Raw genomic sequence first — 20545 nt, 5'->3', positions numbered from 1 at the left:
AAATGGGTACCGGGGACGTTCCGGGATATGGGGCCCTGAGCAGTCCTCGGGTCTGTGAAAACCCAGTTCTGACTTCTGGTTATAATGTGGACTTCGATTAGTTCTTTTAGCCCCTTGAGCTTCATCCTCATTAAAGTGGGGTGTGGGGGTCTGTCCCCGGCCCCTAACTGGAGCTGAAGAATGCTTTGGACTAGTCTGTGCTCACAGAAACCAGACTCTGAGTGAGGAACATGGAATTCTAATGCTGGACTTGTGGTTTTTGCCTGGAAAGCATCCCTTTGCTCATAAAATATTTGTTCCTGCCTCATAGTTTAGCGGCATCTTTGGGGGCAGTGAGAGGGCCGCATAGTCTGGAAGGTTAACCAAATTTTTTCTGAAGACCATAAAGTTTTGGAAGGAGCTGCTGGGTGATTATTTACTATCCATTTATCAACTCTTTCCAGCCCTGGCTGGGAGAACGTCTTCAGGAGGAAATGAAGGCGGCTTTGCCTGGGCTGACGGTTCCCCTTTTCATGGATACAAATATCTTTCATGTGCAACTGGCCACAGTCTTGCTCGTCAGGTGTTTTTTTTTTTTTTATGCATGGCTGTCCCCATGAGAGCTGCTTCCTGAGGTCTCTGAGCAACCAGTGACCAAATCCAGTGAATGGTCCCTGGAAGAGGGGTCTCCCTGCCCCCTTTCTCTGAATCTGGCCACTGTTGCGCCATCTTGCCCTGCCAGTCCTCTGGTCCTTCCCTTCCTTTGGACCAAGTCCTTCTGGTGGCATCGTTCTCCCCCTCCCAGGTAGCCCCAAATATTGATCCAAGGCCATGCTAGTCTTTCTCATCATAAATGCATTTTTCGTGCATAACTTTATCCATAAACCCAATTCAACAGCTCCCAGCTTGAGCATTCTTGCCAGGGTTATCTAAACCTCTTTTTCCAACTGTCCAGTTGAACATTCTGCAGGTCATCTCAAGTTTCACCTGTCTGCAGCCACACGTGTTTCTTCCCTACCACTTCACCTCCTGAGCGCTCTCTCCTGTGTTGATATCTACTGATGGTGTTATCGCCCTCCTGGCATTCCAGGCCGGCAGTGGGCAGCATCCTCTAGTTCCCCCTCTTCATATGCTTGCTTTTAATCAATTGTCTTGTTCCTTCCCCTAGAGAAGCACTTCTGGTCCATTACACTTCTGGGGTCCTGACAAGAGATGGAAAATGCTGACATCTTTTCTCTTGAGCCAGTCAAGATTGATAGTGGCTGCCTGGGTGCCAGAATTAAGAAAGGAGTGTTGCCATTGTTTAGTGATGCCTACCTCGGGTGCCAGGAGGGAGGAGGAGGGTGCATGTACTGGGTATGCATCATCTCTGATCAGAGCCTCCTCTGAGCTCCCTGCCTCTGTCCTCACTCCCTGCCTCTGTCCTCACTCCCTGCCTCTGTCCTCACTCCCTATAATCCACTTTCCACAGGGTCACCAGTCCTCTATCTAAAATAGATCTGGTCAGGGCACTGCTTTGTGTCTAACAAGGGACCAAGCCATCATGGTTGATGACATCAATGATCAACCCCTTAGCTTGACATTCAAGCATTTTCCCAATGAGGAATTTGTTGCTTTTTTCTTGTCGTTCTCAGCAAACTTCTTACCTAAACTCCCCAGCATGCCCTGTTTCTTGTCTGTCGAGCCCTCGATCATGCTGTTGCCTCTGCCTACAGTGCCCTTCCTTGTCCTCTGGGACTAGTGGGCCTCCGTTCTTCCTTAAGAGTCCATTCAGCACCTCTCCTGGAAGAACCCTCACCTGCAGAGCTGCCTCGTACCTGAACGCAGGCACTGGGATTTGCCAAAGTCAACAAAAATGAATGATCTCTTTAGGGACTGTGTCTCCTTTGGCCTCATACCCTGTTTCCCCAAAATTGTTGACATGGAAACAGTCAGATGTGGAACTAAAGTTGAACGTGCCTACCCTCTGACCCAGAAATCCTGCTTCAAGACATTTACCCAGTGGACACGTGTTCACCAAAAGCCATGCACAAGAGTATGCATTGCAGCACAGCTTGTCTCAAACTGTAAACTCTCCAATGGCTCAAACTGGAAACTCCCCAAATGACTATAAAAAAATGAGTTGTGTCCTATTCATACGATAGGGTTCTAGACAGCAGTGGGAATGCATGGACCACTGGTACACAGAACCACATGAGTGAGGCTGTGGAAGGCTGCAGACACAGAAGAGAACACATCTGTGATTCCATAGTCAGGTCTCATGGAGGCAGAGCCAGTCCGTGGTATTGGGTGTTAGGAAGGCAGTCAGCCTTAGGGGAGGAGGGACTGGTGTTTGGGAGGGACCCCTGTCGGGACGACTTCGGAGCTGGTAATAAATGTTTTGTGTCCTGCCCTAGGTGCATTCACGTTGTGGAAATTCATCACACTTCGTGAATGCTTGTCTGTGTGCCTTACTGTGTGTACGTTATCAACAAAGTAGTTTACTTAAACTAGAAAGGAATTGCGTGAAGAGTAATGTGTTCAATGCAGAAGATTTATGAGGCCCTGCTAAGCATCAGGCTGTGGAGGGCATGCGATCCAGAGCTGAGACAGTCATGGGCCCTGTTCTTACAGAGCTCAGTCAAGGGGGATGCCTTACATTTGGGAATGATCCAAGTCTGAAGAAAGCGGTTTTCATGGTGAATGGTCATCTGGAGAGAACACAGCTACTGGGAGTGTTTCCTGCCCATCCATTTCCACTTCTGGGTGTGTATACAATTGGGCTTGTGTGTGTTTTGCTCAGAACTGCCTTGGTTGCAGTCAGGCAGCAGTCTGACTAGAGTTAGCTTAAAGGGGACTTCTTTGAAGCATCTCAACGTAACTCATAGATTGGAAGAGCTGAAACCCCAAACTTCAGGAAGGGCAGGGACTACCAGACCAGGGGATCAACCCAGCAGGTCTCTCTCCTCAATTCCAACCTCAGTCCTCCGTGCTTGGAAGCTTCTTTCTCACAGACCAGCCTTCCCTGCAAGGTGCTGGCAAGGGGCTTCCCAGAGCACTGGATTACATCCTTAGAGATCAAGGCGGGGAGAGCGAACAGGGGCTCTTTCATACCAGGTTCCAATAAAAATAAAAGAAGGCCTATGTGTGGCCAAGGTTAAGGCTGGCTTCCTCCCATCCCTCAACTGGGGAGAAGAGGGTCATGGAACAAGATGGTGGCTCCCTTGGAGTCCCATGGCTCAACTGGGACAGTGATGATGGACTCTCCAAGAGAGACAGATACACGAGGGATGGGAGTGGGGGTGGGGGGACATGGGCAAGGCTCCTTAACAGTTGTGCATTGTAATGAGCCATGCCCCAACTTTGCTCATCCTGATGAGCTATGCCCAGCACAAAATCATCCCTCAGGAAGCAGGAGAAATATATCTTCTGTATCTGTTTTCTCGTGTTTGTAACAATGTATTGTGTTCGTTTAGTTTTGTGCATTATGATGTACGACTGTACATATGCATATATTTGGGTTCATACCCCTAATTTTTAGGGTGTTAAATACTGTCCCACGGCTCTGAATACTGCAGGTTCTGTTTAAGCACCAGCTGCCCTTTGCAAGTCTACAGAGTGGGTTGCCAATTTCTTTGGTTGTGGCCCTCCCTTTGTATCAGACAACTATAACTTAGTGAGGGGTTTGCCTGAGTATGTCTCATAACTGTAGGTGGGAGGAAGAACCCCAGATGTTAGGGAGAGGCAAGGTACTCCTGAGTGATGCCGGGGGCAGGTGTGACTCCCATCTGGGACAGAAGTCTTCCCTGGCATGGCAGAGGATCATGAAGGGGGGGCGCCCAGGTGGGCAGCTTCTTGTTCCTACCTGGCCTCTAACCCATTATTGACACCTTCCAGCCCAGAATTTCCCCTCTTAGGGCTGGTTTTGGGGCTATTTCGGGTTTTTGTAAAAGGAAGACACTGGACTTGTCTTTGGGACAGTGATGGGTCTGCTTGCTGTCAGGATGGTGTTTTCTGGAATCCATTTTCTTTGGACTTATCTTTTGGTCTTGGGGATTTAGGCCCTTTTAATTTTTTGAAGATGAAAGTCCTTTGTTAATGCCTGTAAGCTCTCTCAGCCCTTGGGGTGCTGGGATGTAACTGGAGGTAGAGGGAGGAAAAGCTGGAATCCTAGGCTCTGGGCTTCCTTAGGAAGCTTTTCTCTGTGGGCATGGGGAGATGTCAACTCTAGACATTTAGTTTAAAACTCAAGTCTTGGGTAATCAACTATATACAGTAACTTTAGAAGAAAGTATAAAGACATATTTTCACCTGAAAAATACATGCAAGCTTCTACCTCTTGTAGTGGTAACAATTCAATTATCTTGATACTTGAGTTGAAATGGTGTAGATTTCACACTGTGGAGTGGCTTCCATAGAAAAGGGAAACCTTGGAAAGATGAGATTTGGAAGTTGGTTTGGACTTTGAATTATCCACTGCTTATTTGTGTGTGTGTGTGTGTGTGTGTGTGTGTGTGTGTGTGTGTGTGTGTACTTCATGACTGTTCTTTCTTTGATAATGGATACAAAATTATTTTCAGAACATGTGACAATGTGGGTTTCAGGGAGAATAGAGTAACATTGTCGTTCCTGCTTCTCATAGTCTCCAACTAATTAATGAAGGAAATCCTCTCAGAAAGCCATACCAAAGAGCCCACAAATGTTTGCAAGAAATTTAGTTCCTCACTTTATCCCTGAGTTTCTTTTTAGAAAAGAACCTTGTAACTCTGATACCTTAACAGTTAAGATACAGTTCATCTTCTATATTAAAAACAGTTGTACCTGCAGCTGTTGTAACAAACCTTGTGTTTGTGATTATGTGTCAGTGTTTTCTTTCTTCATTGGGCATGACTCTAATGATTGTACCTGTGTTTATGTCATGCTTATTCAAACGTATCTTTATTGTTCGGTCTATTGCACTTTTTTTTTCAAATGTAATCATAAGTGCACTGTGTAAATGCCCACAGCACATGTTGCTTCTTCTGCATTGATTGTCATTCTTCTGGCTCATTGTTTTAGAGGCCCTGTAACAATGGCAGACTCAAATGGCTCACCTGTGGCTTTCTCCTGTCAGCAAATGGCTTCTGTAATCTTCCCAACAACTCCATGAGAAAGGGCCATTGTTACTATCTCCAGGGGGAGGGGAACACACAGGGATTAAGTAGATTGGGGAAGGTCACACAGCTGGTAAGTGGCACAGCCAAGATCAAACTCAGGCCACCTGGCTCTAGAGAGTGTGAAGGTCAAGAGGGTGAGCTTTGGAGTTCAGCCGCTCACCTGATTTGTGACCTTTGAAAGTTACCCGGCCTCCCTGAGCCTCAGTGTCCTCATCTGTAAAATGGGGATCAGTCCTGTCTCATGGGGTTCCATCAGATGATGGCAAAGAGTGCTTGCTCAGTGCAGGACTCACAGAGTTAGCACTCAGCAAACATGTGCTTTGTACTTCCGGGCTCTTCAGCCATCCTTAGTTGTACATCCTCAGATGTTCCCCAGCCCCTTTCTCTGCTCAGGCTGATTGCGTATCTGCCAGTGGGGCTGCTCTGAAGCTGGGTTCATCCAGCACTGGGAGCAGGGAACTGAGGTTTGCGGGGAGCCACTGTGTTCAAGGCATTGGACTTTGCACCTGTGCATGATTGTGGGAGCAACCCTCTCTGCTGAAAGTTGAATCATGGCACGACTCAAGGGCTCTTCCTGGTCTTTGGAGGTCTGGCTGTGCTGCAGTGGAGAACAGAGATGGTTGGAACAGGACTTCATCTGTGCTTCACCGCTCCTGGTCCCCTGGAGAAAAGCACTCGAGAAGCCATGAGTTGTCCCAAGACTGTGCCACCTCCTTCAGGGGGCAGACCTGGTCTCTTCCACCTCTCTCCTAGCATACTCATGAAAACCTCTCAGATGCAATGCTTTGGGAGAACAGCTTCCAGGGTGATTAAAGCTGCAATGCACAATGCCACTTCTAGGCATGAAACACGTGTCCTGTGATGTTCATAGCAGCACTGCTTTCAGAGCCCCAATCTGGAAACTCCCTGAACGCCTATGAACTGTAGAATGGATACATGGATTGCGGTCTAATACAACGATGGACTATCATATGACAATGAGGATGAATGAACATGCACGGTGACGTGGATGAATTACACAAGCACTGTGAAATGGAAGAAGCCAGATACGAAAGATGATATAGTGTATGAGGCCCTGCAGCGACTGTTCAAAAACAGGCGAAGCTAACCTATAGTTTGAGAAGTCCAGGGTGGGAAAGGGGGTTGGTAATGTTCTGTCTCTTGACCTGGAGGAATCTCCGTGACTGGGTTTACTTTGGTTTACACACACGCTACACGTATACAACAGTGCAGTTAAAAAGTTCTGGCAAACGGCCAGGCGTGGTGGCTCACGCCTGTAATCCCAGCACTTTGTGAGGCCGAGGCAGGTGGATCACGAGGTCAGGAGATTGAGACCATCCTGGCTAACATGGTGAAAATCCCATCTCTACTAAAAATACAAAAAATTAGCCGAGCATGGTGACGGGAGCCTGTAGTCCCAGCCACTTGGGAGGCTGAGGCAGGAGAATGGTGTGGGCCTGGGAGGCGGAGCTTGTAGTAAGCCGAGATCGCGCCACTGCACTCCAGCCTGGGTGACAGAGCGAGACTCTGTCTCAAAAAAAAAAAAAAGTTCTACAAACAAGCAGAGGAACGGCCCTTGTTGAGCTCTTCAGCTGTTCACGCAGCCACAGAGATGCATGGTGGTTCAGGCCTCTGGTTTGGGCAGGACCTGGGCTTGAATCCCAGGTCTTTGGCCCTGGGGAGGTCACTGGACACCTCCTGGGTCTCAGGTGCATGCCTCACCTACCTATGCGGGATTGTACTCACTTCCTCGGGCTGCTCACCTTTTGGGGCTGGCATGAGGGTTGACTGAGCTGGAAAGGTGACAGAGGACTGGCCGGGGGCAGTCCCACGGTGACACAGTCAGGCCCTTTGCCCCGCCTTCCCACCTGGGGTCACCTCCCGAGGCTCACTTGGTTCCCAAGTGGCTGCCCTTTACGGAGACTCCTACCTTCTCTGTAAATCAAAGCAGATTGGTGACATCCCCATGGCCTTCTCTCCCATTCATCTGGCCTGTCCCATAGATTGGGTCAGGAGAGAAGGGTTCCTTGTGGGCGTGAGGGGCGTGTTGTGACAAGCAGAGCTGTCATCTGGAAGGACCCCGGAACGGTTTCTGGAGAGTCCTTCCCTCCCGCCAGCTCTCCATATATGGCCCAGGATTCTAGCAGCTGTGGTTCAAAGGTCATCTTCCCGAGGTCTCTCCAAAGACAGGGATGCTCCTGTGCCCAGCCAGAGACCCCAGCCTCAGGGACTTCATCTGCCCCTTCTTCCTGAGAGGGAACAGCCTGAGCGGGTAATTCCCCCATGCTTCCTGCCCTCACCCTGCTCTCTTTTTGGACTGTTGTTAAGGTTTAAACCAGATTGTTTTTAATGGAGCTGCGCAGCCAGGGTCTTGGGGCTGCCAGTGCTGTGAACTTCTTCCTCAATGGTGTTCCCGTCCTGCTGTCCCACTTGGAACCGGGCAGCCATAACCCAGCCTGAGAGCTGAAGATTGCTGATCGTATTTCTCCTTTCTTCTGACCAATCTGCTGGCCAAACTGGTTCTGCTCTTTCTCCCTCTCTCTCCAGTTCCCCACCCCCAGACAGGAAGTGGAGATGGGCTTGTATTTTCCTGCAGATGAAAGGTGTCTGGAGGTTCTTCTCACTGGCCTGAGTGTGGTCATTCTGCCCCTTCCAGCACTCTGTGGCTCCCATTGTCATTCCTGCTCCATGTTGGTCCAGAGGGGGCATGATCCACAGGAGCCACAGGTCCCCACCCAGAAACACCATTCCTGGGCTTTCATCTTGGTGCTTATCATCTATGAAATGGACATGACATCTTAGTCTAATACCGCTGCCAGGAGAAGGGAGAAAGGTGGAGGCCTTTTGCCTTATTTTGTCCTGAGTCACGTTCAACCTCCACCCCAACTCTGCCATTCACTCCTTTTAGTGCTGTTAGTCTACTGCTGTGACTGTAAACCTTGGCACCTCATTAGAAATATCTGGGGGTGCTTTAAAGAGATATGGATTCCCTTGGTTCAGGAGGGGGTCGGAGTAGCTGTGTGCTGGAGCCTACTGTGTGCTTCTCTTCCCATGTCCAGCAGCCTCACGTTGGTAGCTTGAAATCTGCCAAGATGGCAGTATTTACACGGTGTAGTCAGCAGGCGCTTCAGATCAGGTCCCTGAGAGCCAATTGTTAAATGTTTACCATCCCAGACTTGGGCCAGGACATCAGTATTTTCTAAAAGTTTCCACAGTGATTTTCATGTGCATTCAGGGCTGAGAACCCCTGGTCCTAGAGATGTCTCATACTAGGCACAGTAAGGTTTATGCTTACCAACAATAGCTAACAGTTATCCAACCCTAGCAGATGTTAAACTATTTGTGTGAATGAGATCATTCAACCCTGACCATAACCCATGAAGGAGGATTACAATCCCCATTTTTTAGATGATGAAATTGGGTTCCATAGAGGTTTTCTGTTACCTTATCTAGGGCCACTCTGTTGGTTAGTGGCTGAGGCCAGATTCCAACCCAGGCCTGAGCCCCTGGGACCTGAGTCTGGCCAGGACCTCTTGGATGGCTGTGGTTAGTGCCCTACTTTTCCCAGCAGGTTGGATGCAGAATCATGCTCTTGTCGTTCAGGATGACCATGGGGACCATGGGGTCTGAGCCTGTGACCCTCCAGTCTACAGTGTGTTGGTGAGGAAGGAGCAGTTGTCACTGGGGTCACTGGCAATGGGCATGCCTCCATCTAGCTTAGGCAAGATGCTTGGACTCAGAGCCAGAGAGTGAAACCCAGACACTAATGAGCTGTCGGTGTTGGTGTGTGTTCTCTTCCTCTTCCAGTGGAACATGACAAGGAATTCTTCCACCCACGCTACCACCATCGAGAGTTCCGGTTTGATCTTTCCAAGATCCCAGAAGGGGAAGCTGTCACGGCAGCCGAATTCCGGATCTACAAGGACTACATCCGGGAACGCTTCGACAATGAGACGTTCCGGATCAGCGTTTATCAGGTGCTCCAGGAGCACTTGGGCAGGTGGGTGCTATACGGGTATCTGGGAGAGGTGCTGAGTTTCCTCTGGGGGCAGAGGAAGAAGGTGGTGAGGGCCAGAGGATGGGTCAGATTGGCACAACCACGTGCCAGGCCCTGTACCAGATTATCCCTTCTAAAGAAGGTGTATGGTGTATGTCACTTCCTTAAAACCATGACCGACAACAAATTCAGGAATAGTAGAAGGCCAGGGAGCCCAGGGATGCGTGGTGCCTTGTGGGTTTTTATAGGCAGTCTAGATCTGGCTGGGTGCTAAGGGACATAGAAGAAAAGGGGAAGGGGAAGAAACATTTTTGAAGGGCTACCTCTCTCCCGTTTCTCACTCTGAAACCCAGTGCACGATGTCAGGCAACCAATTAAGGTGGCCATCTAAAATAAAATGTTAGGGGAAGAAAAAAACCCAAACCAAAAAAAACAGAGAACTCTTAGCCTTCCAAGAATCACTAGGTCAGAAACCAAACGTTTGTGTTGAAAGTCTTTAATTTATCGAGATCCATTAATTTCAAGGTCTTGTGAGAGGTAAGGAGGCTAAGAAAAAGGGCTGGGACATTTAGCAGGTGCATTCTATTCAGACAGTCCCGAGGCAGAAATGACCAAGGTCCTATTACTCAGTGGCTGGGTTGCTGGACCCCGCAGGCTGTCAGACATCTACCGTCCCCACTGGGCAGGGAAATTGATGGAAGAAAGGTGGTGTGGGCACCTCCTTGTGATGTGCAGGCTTAGCATCTTCAGCTAGAAAGGGGACTTGTTACCATAGACAGGGACAGAAGAACCATCACAGCTACGTTTGCCAAGCACTGCTATTTGGTGCTGGTGGGGGGTGGGGGTGGGGATGGTCATCTAAGTACCAAGAAAACAAAACTGTTCTTGAGCGTTTCCAGAGTGTTTTGCACTTGATATCTTGTTTCATATTCACAGTAGCCTTCAGAAGTGGTGGCTTATCTGTAAAATGAGGAGAACTAAAGTGACCTGAAGCCAAAGAATGAGGCTACCCAGAGAGAATGTGGCCACATTAGGACGTGAGCCCAGGTTTGCAAAGCTGGAGCCCATGCTTATGAAAGATATTTCTTTCCAAAATTTGTTTTTAGGCCGGGTGTGGTAGCTCACGCCTGTAATCCCAGCACTTTGGAAGGCCAAGGCAGGTGGATCATTTGAGGTCAGGAGTTTGAGACCAGCCTGGCCAACACGGTGAAACCCCGTCTCTACTAAAAATAGAAAAATTAGCCAGGCATGGTGGCGGGCGCCTGTAATCCCAGCTACTTGGGAGGCTGAGGCAGGAGAATTGCTTGAACCCAGGAGGAGAAGGTTGCAGTGAGCCGAGATGGTGCCACCGCACTCCAGCCTGGGTGACAGAGTGAGACTCTTTCTCAAAAAAAAAAAAAAAAAAAAGTTTTTGAGTAGGCAAGACATGTTCATGGTATAAAATCAAAAGGAAAGAAGAGGAACCACAGTGAAAATGAAGGCTTCCAGCCCCTGCTGAGGTGGTCCCTGATGCCAGTTTCTTGAGTCTCCTGAAATCAGCGAAGGAATCTGTGTTGCTGTTTTCACCTGTGGAACCCCACAGTGCACTCACTCCTGCCTCTGGCTTTCATCGTTGGATGATGAACCTTGGCAGCCCTTTCCAGGGGTTCACACGGGGTGCCCTCATCCTCTGAGTCACCTCACTGTTCCACGGCTTGGGTTGTGCTGTGTTTCACGTGTGCACGCTGGCTCCTCTGTTCTATGATGGATGGTGCCGCAGGGCAAGTACCCTCGCTGACATACGTGTTCATGTCTATCAGTCAGATAAAGTTCTAGAGATAGAATTGTGGGGTCAGAGGGCCCACACATGGGTGGCTTTGGTAGACACTGCTGAGCAGCTCTCCTGGGAGGTGACATCGACATCTACTCCCAGCAGCCAGGGAGCTTCTTGCTTAGGATGAAACCACAGCCTCTGTGTCCAGGCTGTTATCTGGATTCTCCACTCAGCTCCGGCAGCTCTTGGTCCTTCCTGCTGGCTTTGTGGGCACCTGGTCCCATCATGGTCTGTGGTGCCTCTGCTGTCTTGCCTGAGATCCATGGGGTGGATCCTGAGGGCTGCAGGGTTGGGCAGCAGGCCTGAGCACTGTGTTTGGAGGAGGGATGGGCGTTCCAGGCGTCCTCCCTGCCAGGCTGCCGGCAACAGGCAACTTGGGCTGGGGGTGCCCATTCTAGTGCTGGGGTCCTGCTCCTGGGGGCTTCTGGGCTGCTGAGTGACTGAGTCCCTCCTCAGCACAGGTACCTGCTGCATGCCATGCCTGAGGGCATCGACCAGAACGAACCAGACACGAGTCCCTGCCCTCTGGAAGCTCACGTTCCAGCAGAGGAGAGGACATGGCAGGTGGGAGCATTGAGCAAGGAAGGGAATAGGGTGAGAAGCAGTGGAGGGCAAGACGGAGCTGCTTTCTTTAGGTTTCTACATGTTCTTCCTGTGCCTCCTGCAGCAAAGCCTCCATTCTTCAGAAGTTAAATGGTTAAATTTAAAAAATATATTATTTATTCATTTTTCTGGACAGGTTGTTTTGTTTTTCAACCTAGAACCAAGATGCCCCTATGATGTAATTCCCCAGCTATTAAGAGCATGGATTCAAATCCTGCCACCAGCTACCCATGTGGCCTTGGGAAAGAGTCATCTCTCAGAGCCTCAGTTTTTCCCTCTGTAAAATGGGGATAATAATTGAATCTCCCTCCCAGAGTTGTGCTGTGGATGAAAGGGGGTGACATACTTACAACAGTGTCTTACACACAGGAAGTGCTCAATAAATGGTCACCTGCGTTAGTATCATCATCATCACAGCAGGAAGTGGAGCAAGACCTCTTTAGGAAGACAAGAGCCCTGGGTGGTGGCTGTGGCACTGCCTTCCCATGTAGGTCCACCGAGCCAATTCCCCTAATTCTGCAATCTTCCAGTAGGAACAAAGCCCTGAGCTTGCAAATGCTCTTCAAATCCCCCACGCTTCCTCCAGCTCGCCTGTTCAGAGATAGGCTTTTTCTTTGCATGTCCCCAACCTGGTTGCATGTCCCCAACCTGGGCCCGCACAGCTTCTTCCAGCTGAAGGCCTCCTGCAGACCTCAGCCCGGGGGAGCCCAGAGCCTGCCCTGCTGTCCCCGCCATGTGGCTGCCTCTGTCTCTGTGCCGCCAGCTGCCCAGCTGTGCAGGGCTGGGACATCTGACGAGCTGTGCCTGAGCTCCAGGAAAGCCCCGGGGGTGCCGAGGATTAGCCGGCTTTGGGTCAGCCTCAGCGTCTCTCCCCTTGTGGGAGTCACTTTCCACTGACTCCTCTTGATCTCTCGGAATCCAGATTAAATTCCGATAATGAGCCGAGCTGGAGGCCTTCCATAGCCCTGCGGCTCTGCTTAAAGCGCGGCCCCAGACAGCTGGAAAGACATGTTGGAGCCGCCCTTGGCGGGCTGTGGAGCGAGTGGGGGCTCAGAGGCAGGTCTGGGGACAGTGGCCTTGGCTCCAGAGGCCTTGCTGGGGTGAGAGGGGGCTGCGAAAGGATCGGAGTCTTATCCTCATTTTCTGAACCCCAGGCCTGAGGCCAGGCCAGCTGGGGCCTGGCTTCCAGGAGCTGGACTTGCTCCTGTCTCCATTGGTGCAGACTTTGGTTCCAGGTGAAGGTGAGGATATTTGGGGTAGGGGTTGTGCTGTTTGCCCTGTTTCTGCTGTGGAGCTGGGACCTGGCATCTTCCATCCCAGTCTTCCCCGTCTCTCCTTGAGCATGTGTCAGGCTTGCCCCACTCCACAGCGCTGCCCCACATGTAGGCGACACACTTCTGCTTTGGGAGCTGGCCTCTGAGAACCTCCCTGGGAGGCCAAGGCCAGCCAGGGCAGCAGAATCTGCTCCAAGGGAGTCGGCCGCCACCAAGGTCGAGATGATGTTGGCAGCTGGATGAAAATGTCCCTGGGTTCATCTCAGTGATTTTGGCTGCCAGGAGGGTGACCTCAGCGTGGTCTCGAGGGCCAAGATTTGGATCAGCTGCAGCCTGAGTCACTCTGAGGAAGAGGGAGCTGCCCCCTGCCTGTCCCCACCACACAGGATGGATTGGCAGAGGAGGCCTGGGCTCAGTTTCCTGGGTCCCTTCAGCCCAGGCAGAGGCTCTTGCCCTCGACTAGCCCTGGGATGGGGGCCCTGAGTTTCTGCCTTTCTGAGAAGCTCCCTGGGGACGCCGTGATGATTTTGGTCCATAAACCTGAGAAGGTAGGTGGGGCTGGATGTGGTAGGAGGAACGATGCAGCCCCCTCACAGGGCGGCCCTCGGGCAGTGGGCCAAGGGCTCCTTGCCCAGTCCTCTCCTGGGGATGCTGGGGTGGTGGCAACTTATGATGTGCGGATTCATGACTTGGTAGCAAGACTCTGGGCGGGTTTTGCCCTGCCGTTAGCCCCCATGAGCGTGTTTGGGCAGAGAGCCATGGTCACGTTCCAGAGCATGTCTCCACCCTGTGGTTGAGGCTTCTTGTTGCGTGGTGCTTACTGTTTATGACTGTGCTGGACACTTCAGCTTTGTTTCATGCCTTGGAAAGGTTCCTATGAAGATGTATCATCCCCATTTTACAGGTGCGGAGCCTGGCTCAGAGGTGGGAAGTAACTTGCCCAAAAGCACACAGCTACAAAGTGGCAGAGGTGGGGCTCAAACCCAGGCTCTTAGATTTCAGCAGTCACCATCTTAGCCATGGCCGTGCCTCAGTGATTCCCATAGTGCTGATTCCCTCACCTGGGGCTCAGATGGGTCCATTGATGAGTCCTGAGCTGGTTTTCAGCCTTGGCTGTGCAATAGAATCACAGAGGCTTTTAAAACTCCTGATCCGTAGGGGTTGAACTGTCATTGGTGTGCTTTAAAAGCTCCCAGGTGATTCCCTGTGTGCTGGGGTGTGAACAGGTGGCTAAGATCTCTCTAATTTCTCACCCATGAGCTGTCTTACATGCCCAAGAGGAAGGAAAGAGATTCCTTTTTTTTTTTTTTTTGAGATGGAGTCTCACTGTGTTGCCCAGGCTGGAGTGCAGTGGCACGATCCCAGCTCACTGCAACCTCCACCTCTCAAGTTCAAGTGATTCTCCTGCCTCAGCCTCCCAAGTAGCTGGGATTACAAGTATGTACCACCATGCCTGGCTGATTTTTTTATTTTTAGTAGAGATGGGGTTTCACCATGTATTGGCCTTCTGTGACACATTCCATGTTCCCTTCAGCTTGGTGTCTCAGAGAAGACTGTTCTTCTTCCCATGAGACTGAGCCCAAAGTGTAGTCCAGACCACAATTGTCAGTCTCAATGGCACAGGAAAGGGACTGGCTAAGGGTGAAGATCCCTTTGGACTCTGGCTCCAGAGGCTTCTGGAAGCTTCTGGAAGCTTCCAGAAGCCTCTGGAGTTTCTTGCTGCTCCTGAAGGCTACATGCCTGTTTCCTCGTCTCCTGGCTTCTACCCCTTGCCACTACACCTCAGCCCCAGGGCATGAGTTCTGGTTTTGAGCTGCCTTCTCAGGATGTGCCAGGTCAGCTTCCTGAGTAGCCTTTTCAGAGGGCAAGGAGGATTCCTTTTGGCTGCTGGGAACTTCCAGGATGTCCTGGAAGGTCAGAGGAGAGCAGCCCTCATCAAGGAGCCTTGGCATTTTTCCTCGCAGTCCCTTTCTCTGGGCCTCACTCCAGAACCGAGACTGAAGCTGCCTGAGAGGGAGTGGCAGGCCCTTAATGCCTTTGGTTCCGCTTGGGGTCCTCTCATGGATCTGCAAGGATCCCTCTGGAAAAAGCCACCCAGCTGGGCAGAGATGGCAAACCACTGTGTTCAATCCAGTTAATGCCAGAGACACAGCCAGTATCCCCTACTCAGCATCTGGGGGCCAAATGCCCGTTGGCTTCCTGTCCTGTGGCCTGAGGCCATCTGGTGGGCCTTGGTGGCTTTTTTTTATCTCTGTCCCTGTTATTTCTTCCCATAATTCATCCCGAGCCTGGCTTCACAGGGAGCATACGGGTGGTGGCTGGGAATCGATGGCAACAGATTCCGTTTGCTGAGTGTTTGCGGCGGGCGGGGGCTCAGCAGGTTGCCCACATTTTCCCTGATTCCCCGTAGGTGTTATATCACGTTCAGTGAAGCCGAGCGGGTGTCCCCACGAGGTGGTCAGTCCTGCCCCTCTTGTAGACCACCTGTGGGAAAGGTCTGCTCTCTTTACGTTTCCATCGATTTAGCTGGGTCCACAATGCGATCTTGGAGCCTCCTCTCTCCCATGACACTTGTCTATGCTGGGAGAAGGGATGGCTGCCTTTGGGAACAGTCATGATGACAAAAGCTAATTGCATGCAATGGGGGCTCTTTACTGCTTCCCACAACAACCCCCCATGGAGACACCCTTATCCCTGCCCACCCCTCTTTTTTTTTTTTTTTTTTTTTTTGAGAGATAGGGTCTTGCTCTGTTGCTCTGCTGGAGTGCAGTGGAGTGATCACAGCTCACTGCAGCCTCGACCTCCTGGGTTGGAGCAATCGTCCCACCTGAGCCTCTCAAGTAGCTAGGACCATAGGAACACACCACTATGTCTGGCTAGTTTTTTACTTTTGTAGAGATGAGGTCTCACTGTGTTGTCCAGGCTGATCTCAAACTCTTGGCCTCAAGTTGTTCTCCTGCCTTGGCCTCCCAGAGTGTTGTGATTACAGGCATGAACCACCGTGCCTGCTCCCACACCCTCTTTCACAGACAAGGAAATGAAGGCACAATACTGGGTTGGGGATTAAGGATGAGAAGCTTCCATCTTTCCCCAGTCGCATATGTTTTTCTTCCTTGGCTGGTGGATACACTTTTTTCTTTCTCCTCGTGGCAGTCCAGTCCTGTAAATTGGGAAATGGTGGGGCAATTCATATTTTCCACACAAGGAAATTGAGGCAGAGACCAGTGACCTGCCCAGCCTGTCCCAGTAGTGTGTAGTGAGGCTTTGCAGACGCACCTGGAGCCGCCTCTTTTTCCACCCCTCGGAAGTTGCACGGACTTGGACAGCATGTGGACACTTGCTGAACCGTGTGGGGCTGCATAGTGAAGATCTGAGTGGGGCCCAGCAGAGACAGTGACAGGGGGTCCACAAGGGGAGGAGTTTTGTTCGTTTTGCTCACTGTGGTATCCATTTTGCCTAGAGCCTGGCACATAGTAGGTGCTCAGTAAGACACCAAATGCACGAAAGGATGAAAGCACGACCCAGCCTTCCCTTTGAAGATGTGGGCTCTCTGAATTCACAGACCACATGGTCTGGTCCTGTGTGCCTGAGCGCATGTACAACAGATGCCTGCTGGATGAGTGAGTGCCGGCCACAGTATCTTTGCCCTGGAGCTAGTTCGTCCTACCAAATGCTCCAATGTGCTTTCTCTTCCAGAATTGAAACTCGAGAATGCCTTGCTTGCAATCTTTCTTCAGCATCTGAGCCCAATTTCCAAAAAGTGAAAATTGCCTGTAATTATGATACTTTCTGATCCTATGGATGTTTCCCTGTGATGATTATAATTACGTTATTTACAGCTGTGTGCCAGTGGGTGCCCAAGGGTAGGTCGGTTCTTGTTTGCAAATAGGGGAGACATCAGCGTGTGTGCGGCAGCCTGGGGTTCTTTACACTGGGATGCATTTGGGAAGAATGGGCTTTCGTGGAGGCAGCTCTCTGGATAACTTGATTTGGCACTTTGATTCCAAAAGCACTTCATGCTTGGCCCTGGGCCTCTGCTCGCCTATAGAAGCTCATTTTTCCAAATGTATTAACATCTATGTTTCGAATCAGGATCTGTAATTGCTTTAGCTTTTTTGGCAGGAGACAAAGAGAATTAATATTTTTCAATTTGGTCACAAGCAGTCATCTGTAGCTGGGAAGAAAAGTGTCTGCTCAAATACTAACTCTAAGGGTGGGGAATACAGGCTTACCAGGAACATGATGATGTTTTAAAGGAGACAACCACAGTTAATGAAGCTAGTTCAAGTTCAGATTGGAAGTAGGCATGTAGGTAAATACTCAAGGTTCTTCCAAACCCTGCTTCTTCCTTTGTCTTCCTATTGCAACCTCTGTCGGTGCCATGTTCTTCTTTTTCCTCAACAATGCCCATGGCTTTCCATTTTGCCACCCCAAGAAAGGAGGAAGGAAAGCTGACACCTGGTCTTGCATTCCAGCACGCATGCCACCCTTCTCCTCCTGGGACCAAGGCAGGCATTGCTAATGGATCCCTTTCCCTCCCTTTCCCTGGATCCTTGGTACAGGTCTCTAAATAAGGCAGCCACTGCCAGTTGAGTGAAGCTGCCATCAAGTGAAACCTGTTGGCCACTGGTTTCAGGTCAGGTTTCTCCAAAGCTCACCCTCAGCTGAGGATTGTGTGGCTGTGAGAGTGAAGGATTAGAAAGTGTTTCCAGGAAAGGCCTTTAGGAGCATCGGGCAGTGGGGAGATGGGGAGGCCAGGTGAGGGAGCGGTGCTGCGCAGAGCACCCCGAAGGGTGACTTTGGCTCACTCTTCCTGCTAGAGGTTCTGGAGACAAAGTTGCACCCTCATCCTAGTCCCGTCAAGAGAGCTGAAGTGTTTATACCCTGTCATTTGAGGCAGGGTTTCGGTTTCCGAGCCTCCGCAGTAGTGACCTTTGGGGGTGGCTCATTCTCTGGGGTTAAGGGCCATCCTGGGCATAGTAGGGCATTCGGTAGCAGCCCTGGCTTCTGCCCACCAGATGCCAATGACACATCCCCACACTCAGTTGTGAAACCAAAAATGTCACCAGATATTGTCAGGGTCCCATCTTTAAAAGGGCCTCTAACTAGGCCCTGACTGAGAAGCACAGGGTGGAGGGAGGGAGGGATGTCAAGTACCTCTGGGTGACACAGCCGAAGTTGAACATACTTAAGTGGGAAGTCCCTCGCCCACCCTGTCTTCTTCCCACCTTCCCACTTACCTTGCTCACTGCTACCTACCACCAAACACCACCTACCAGCAAACACCAGCTACCAGCAAACACCAGCTACCACCAAACACCACCTACCACCGAACAAACACCAGCTACCACTGAACAAACACCAGCTACCACCGAACAGCTACCACTGAACACCAGCTACCACCGAACAGCTACCACCGAACAAACACCAGCTACCACCAAACACCAGCTACCACTGAACAAACGCCAGCTACCACCAAACAAATGCCAGCTACCACCGAACGCCAGCTACCACCAAACAAACACCAGCTACCACCAAACAAACCCAGCTACCACCAAACACCAGCTATCACTGAACAAACACCAGCTACCACCTAACCAACACCAGCTACCACTGAACAAACACTAGCTACCACCAAACACCAGCTACCACCAAACACCAGCTACCACCAAACACCAGCTACCAGCAAACACATACCAGCTACCACCGAACACACACCAGCTACCACCAAACAAACACCAGCACCACCAAACACCAGCTACCACCAAACAAACACCAGCTACCACCGAACAAATGCCAGCTACCACCGAACAAACACCAGCTACCACCAAACAAACCCAGCTACCACCAAACACCAGCTATCACTGAACAAACACCAGCTACCACCGAACAAACACCAGCTACCACTGAACAAACACCAGCTACCACTGAACAAACACCAGCTACCACCAAACACCAGCTACTACCAAACACCAGCTACTACTACAAAACACCAGCTACCACCAAACACCAGCTACCTCCGAACACCAGCTACCAGCAAACACACACCAGCTACCACCGAACACACACCAGCTACCACCAAAGAAACACCAGCTACCACCAAACACCAGCTACCACCAAACAAACACCAGCTACCACCAAACACCAGCTGTGCAGCTCCTCACACACATCTGTCCGAGGTGGTGCTCAAACCCAGCTGTTGTCAGAACCTCCTGGAAATATATTGGAAGAGAAAAATACAGGTTCCCATGTTTAACCCCAACTAGTCAGGTGTAGGGGCTAGGAGTTTTCATCATGAATGTTTAAAAACAAGCTCCCAGGACTGGTTGTGTCACCTTCTGGGCCCAGTGCAAAATGAAAATGTGTCAAAAATGTATAAAGGATTTCAAGACAGCAACAGCAGAGCATGAAACCAAGCTCGGCGTACTTCTGTGTGTCGGGCCCTGTGTGACTGCACGGGTCAGATGCCCATGAAGCCGGCCCTGGCCTTGCCATCTCCCTGGATACAGATGTCTGTTGATATCTGTGTTGATAGGTATCTTTATACAGATACCTTTCAGCCCCAGCCTCATTTCCAGCTGTCTCCTGTACACGTAAACACGTGGAAACACAGACAGATCCACAGAAACACAGACACAGACACAGCACACAGATGCGCAGACACGCCTGGTTTCCCCTGTTTTAACACCTAACATCAATAGGGTACAGTTTTCATAATTAAGGACCCAGCATCTGCATTTTTATTAATGAAAGTCAATCATTTATTCCGGACCCCTTTGCTTTTACTTCTTGTCCTTCTGTCCTGTCCAGGACGCCACCTACCCTTCAGTGGCCACATTCCCTGGGGCTCCTCCTGCCTATGTGTTTCTCCTGCTTTGCTTGTTTCTGAAAGTGACAGTCACCCAGCGTTTGGAGGGAGTTGATGCAGAGTCCTCTCCCACTATCGCTCCGTCTATCTCAGCCCCACCTATTTTAAAATTCAACCTGAATCCCTACACTCTGGCTGTGGCTCGATGTCTTCTGAACTTGAGTGACGTGGGTCACAGCCACACGGGGTCCCCAGACTGGAGTCCTTGTAACCCCTGGGCTTTCAGCTATGGCGACCTCAGTGCCTGGCACAGAGCACTCCATGTGGCTTTGCTTCTTGAGTGGAAATGAGATTATAAGAGCCTTTTTGGGGTAAGGGTTCTTTGTCTCCTAACTCTTCCCCAGGGCCTAGTTAGGGGCGCTTTAAAGATGGCACTTGAGGTGTCCTCAATAGCAGGCTCTTTCCCCTCCATGCTGTGGGCTTAGGGAGCGGGCTCAGCCTCTTGCTCTGGGGTTGAACCCACAGGTCCCGGAAGTGGGAGAGGGTGGGTGGGGTGGTTTGGGAGTCAGGTTTGCAAGTGGGATTGAGAGCTGGAACCAGGAGCCTCCCAACAAACCTGTCATGGTCATTCTCCTTGGAAAGCTTTCTCCAGCTGAGTCCTGCCTCCATCCCTTTCCCCTTGGGTGTTCCACATGCGGGGGCTCACGGTGCAGTAGGAAAAGCATCTCTGAGGCCCTAGTCTGGCTCCTGGACATAAGAGGGATCCTCCAGCTTCCCCAGCATCACTGGTGTTTGAGTCTTTTCTCTGCAGATGCCACCACAGGTTGTCCTGGCGGGGGTCCCTGCCATGAATGTAGACAGCATTTCTCCTCCAGCCCATGTCTGGCTGCTCAGGTGGTGACTCCCACCATGTCAGCCTCACCAACTGCCACCTTG

The 20545-nt window shown here is 50.7% G+C and overlaps 1 protein-coding gene across 1 annotated transcript in view, besides 4 other annotated features; it reads left to right on the top strand.

Annotated features, from left to right (window-relative positions):
- BMP7 (bone morphogenetic protein 7) overlaps positions 1-20545 on the top strand; it is a 97889-nt gene that overhangs the window by 29299 nt on the left and 48045 nt on the right. Inside the window, exon 2 of the mRNA NM_001719.3 lies at positions 8922-9114. Coding sequence (NP_001710.1) covers positions 8922-9114 — 193 coding nt within the window. The remainder of the gene's footprint in view (positions 1-8921; positions 9115-20545) is intronic.
- Positions 4509-5041: an enhancer, noted in NCBI's record as "OCT4-NANOG hESC enhancer chr20:55807358-55807890 (GRCh37/hg19 assembly coordinates)". NCBI's record gives its function as "activates a minimal SCP1, AML or CMV promoter by ChIP-STARR-seq in naive and primed H9 embryonic stem cells {active_cell/tissue: H9 hESC(naive and primed)}" and the evidence as "EXISTENCE:reporter gene assay evidence [ECO:0000049][PMID:30033119]".
- Positions 5042-5575: an enhancer, noted in NCBI's record as "OCT4-NANOG hESC enhancer chr20:55806824-55807357 (GRCh37/hg19 assembly coordinates)". NCBI's record gives its function as "activates a minimal SCP1, AML or CMV promoter by ChIP-STARR-seq in naive and primed H9 embryonic stem cells {active_cell/tissue: H9 hESC(naive and primed)}" and the evidence as "EXISTENCE:reporter gene assay evidence [ECO:0000049][PMID:30033119]".
- Positions 10758-11258: an enhancer, noted in NCBI's record as "H3K4me1 hESC enhancer chr20:55801141-55801641 (GRCh37/hg19 assembly coordinates)". NCBI's record gives its function as "activates a minimal SCP1, AML or CMV promoter by ChIP-STARR-seq in primed H9 embryonic stem cells {active_cell/tissue: H9 hESC(primed)}" and the evidence as "EXISTENCE:reporter gene assay evidence [ECO:0000049][PMID:30033119]".
- Positions 13331-13832: an enhancer, noted in NCBI's record as "H3K4me1 hESC enhancer chr20:55798567-55799068 (GRCh37/hg19 assembly coordinates)". NCBI's record gives its function as "activates a minimal SCP1, AML or CMV promoter by ChIP-STARR-seq in primed H9 embryonic stem cells {active_cell/tissue: H9 hESC(primed)}" and the evidence as "EXISTENCE:reporter gene assay evidence [ECO:0000049][PMID:30033119]".

This window comes from Homo sapiens, chromosome 20 (genome assembly GCF_000001405.40).
Source record: "Homo sapiens chromosome 20, GRCh38.p14 Primary Assembly".
Classification (NCBI taxonomy): domain Eukaryota; kingdom Metazoa; phylum Chordata; class Mammalia; order Primates; family Hominidae; genus Homo; species Homo sapiens.
Note: the sequence above shows the minus strand (reverse complement) of the source record. Positions and strands in the feature narration are given on the sequence as shown.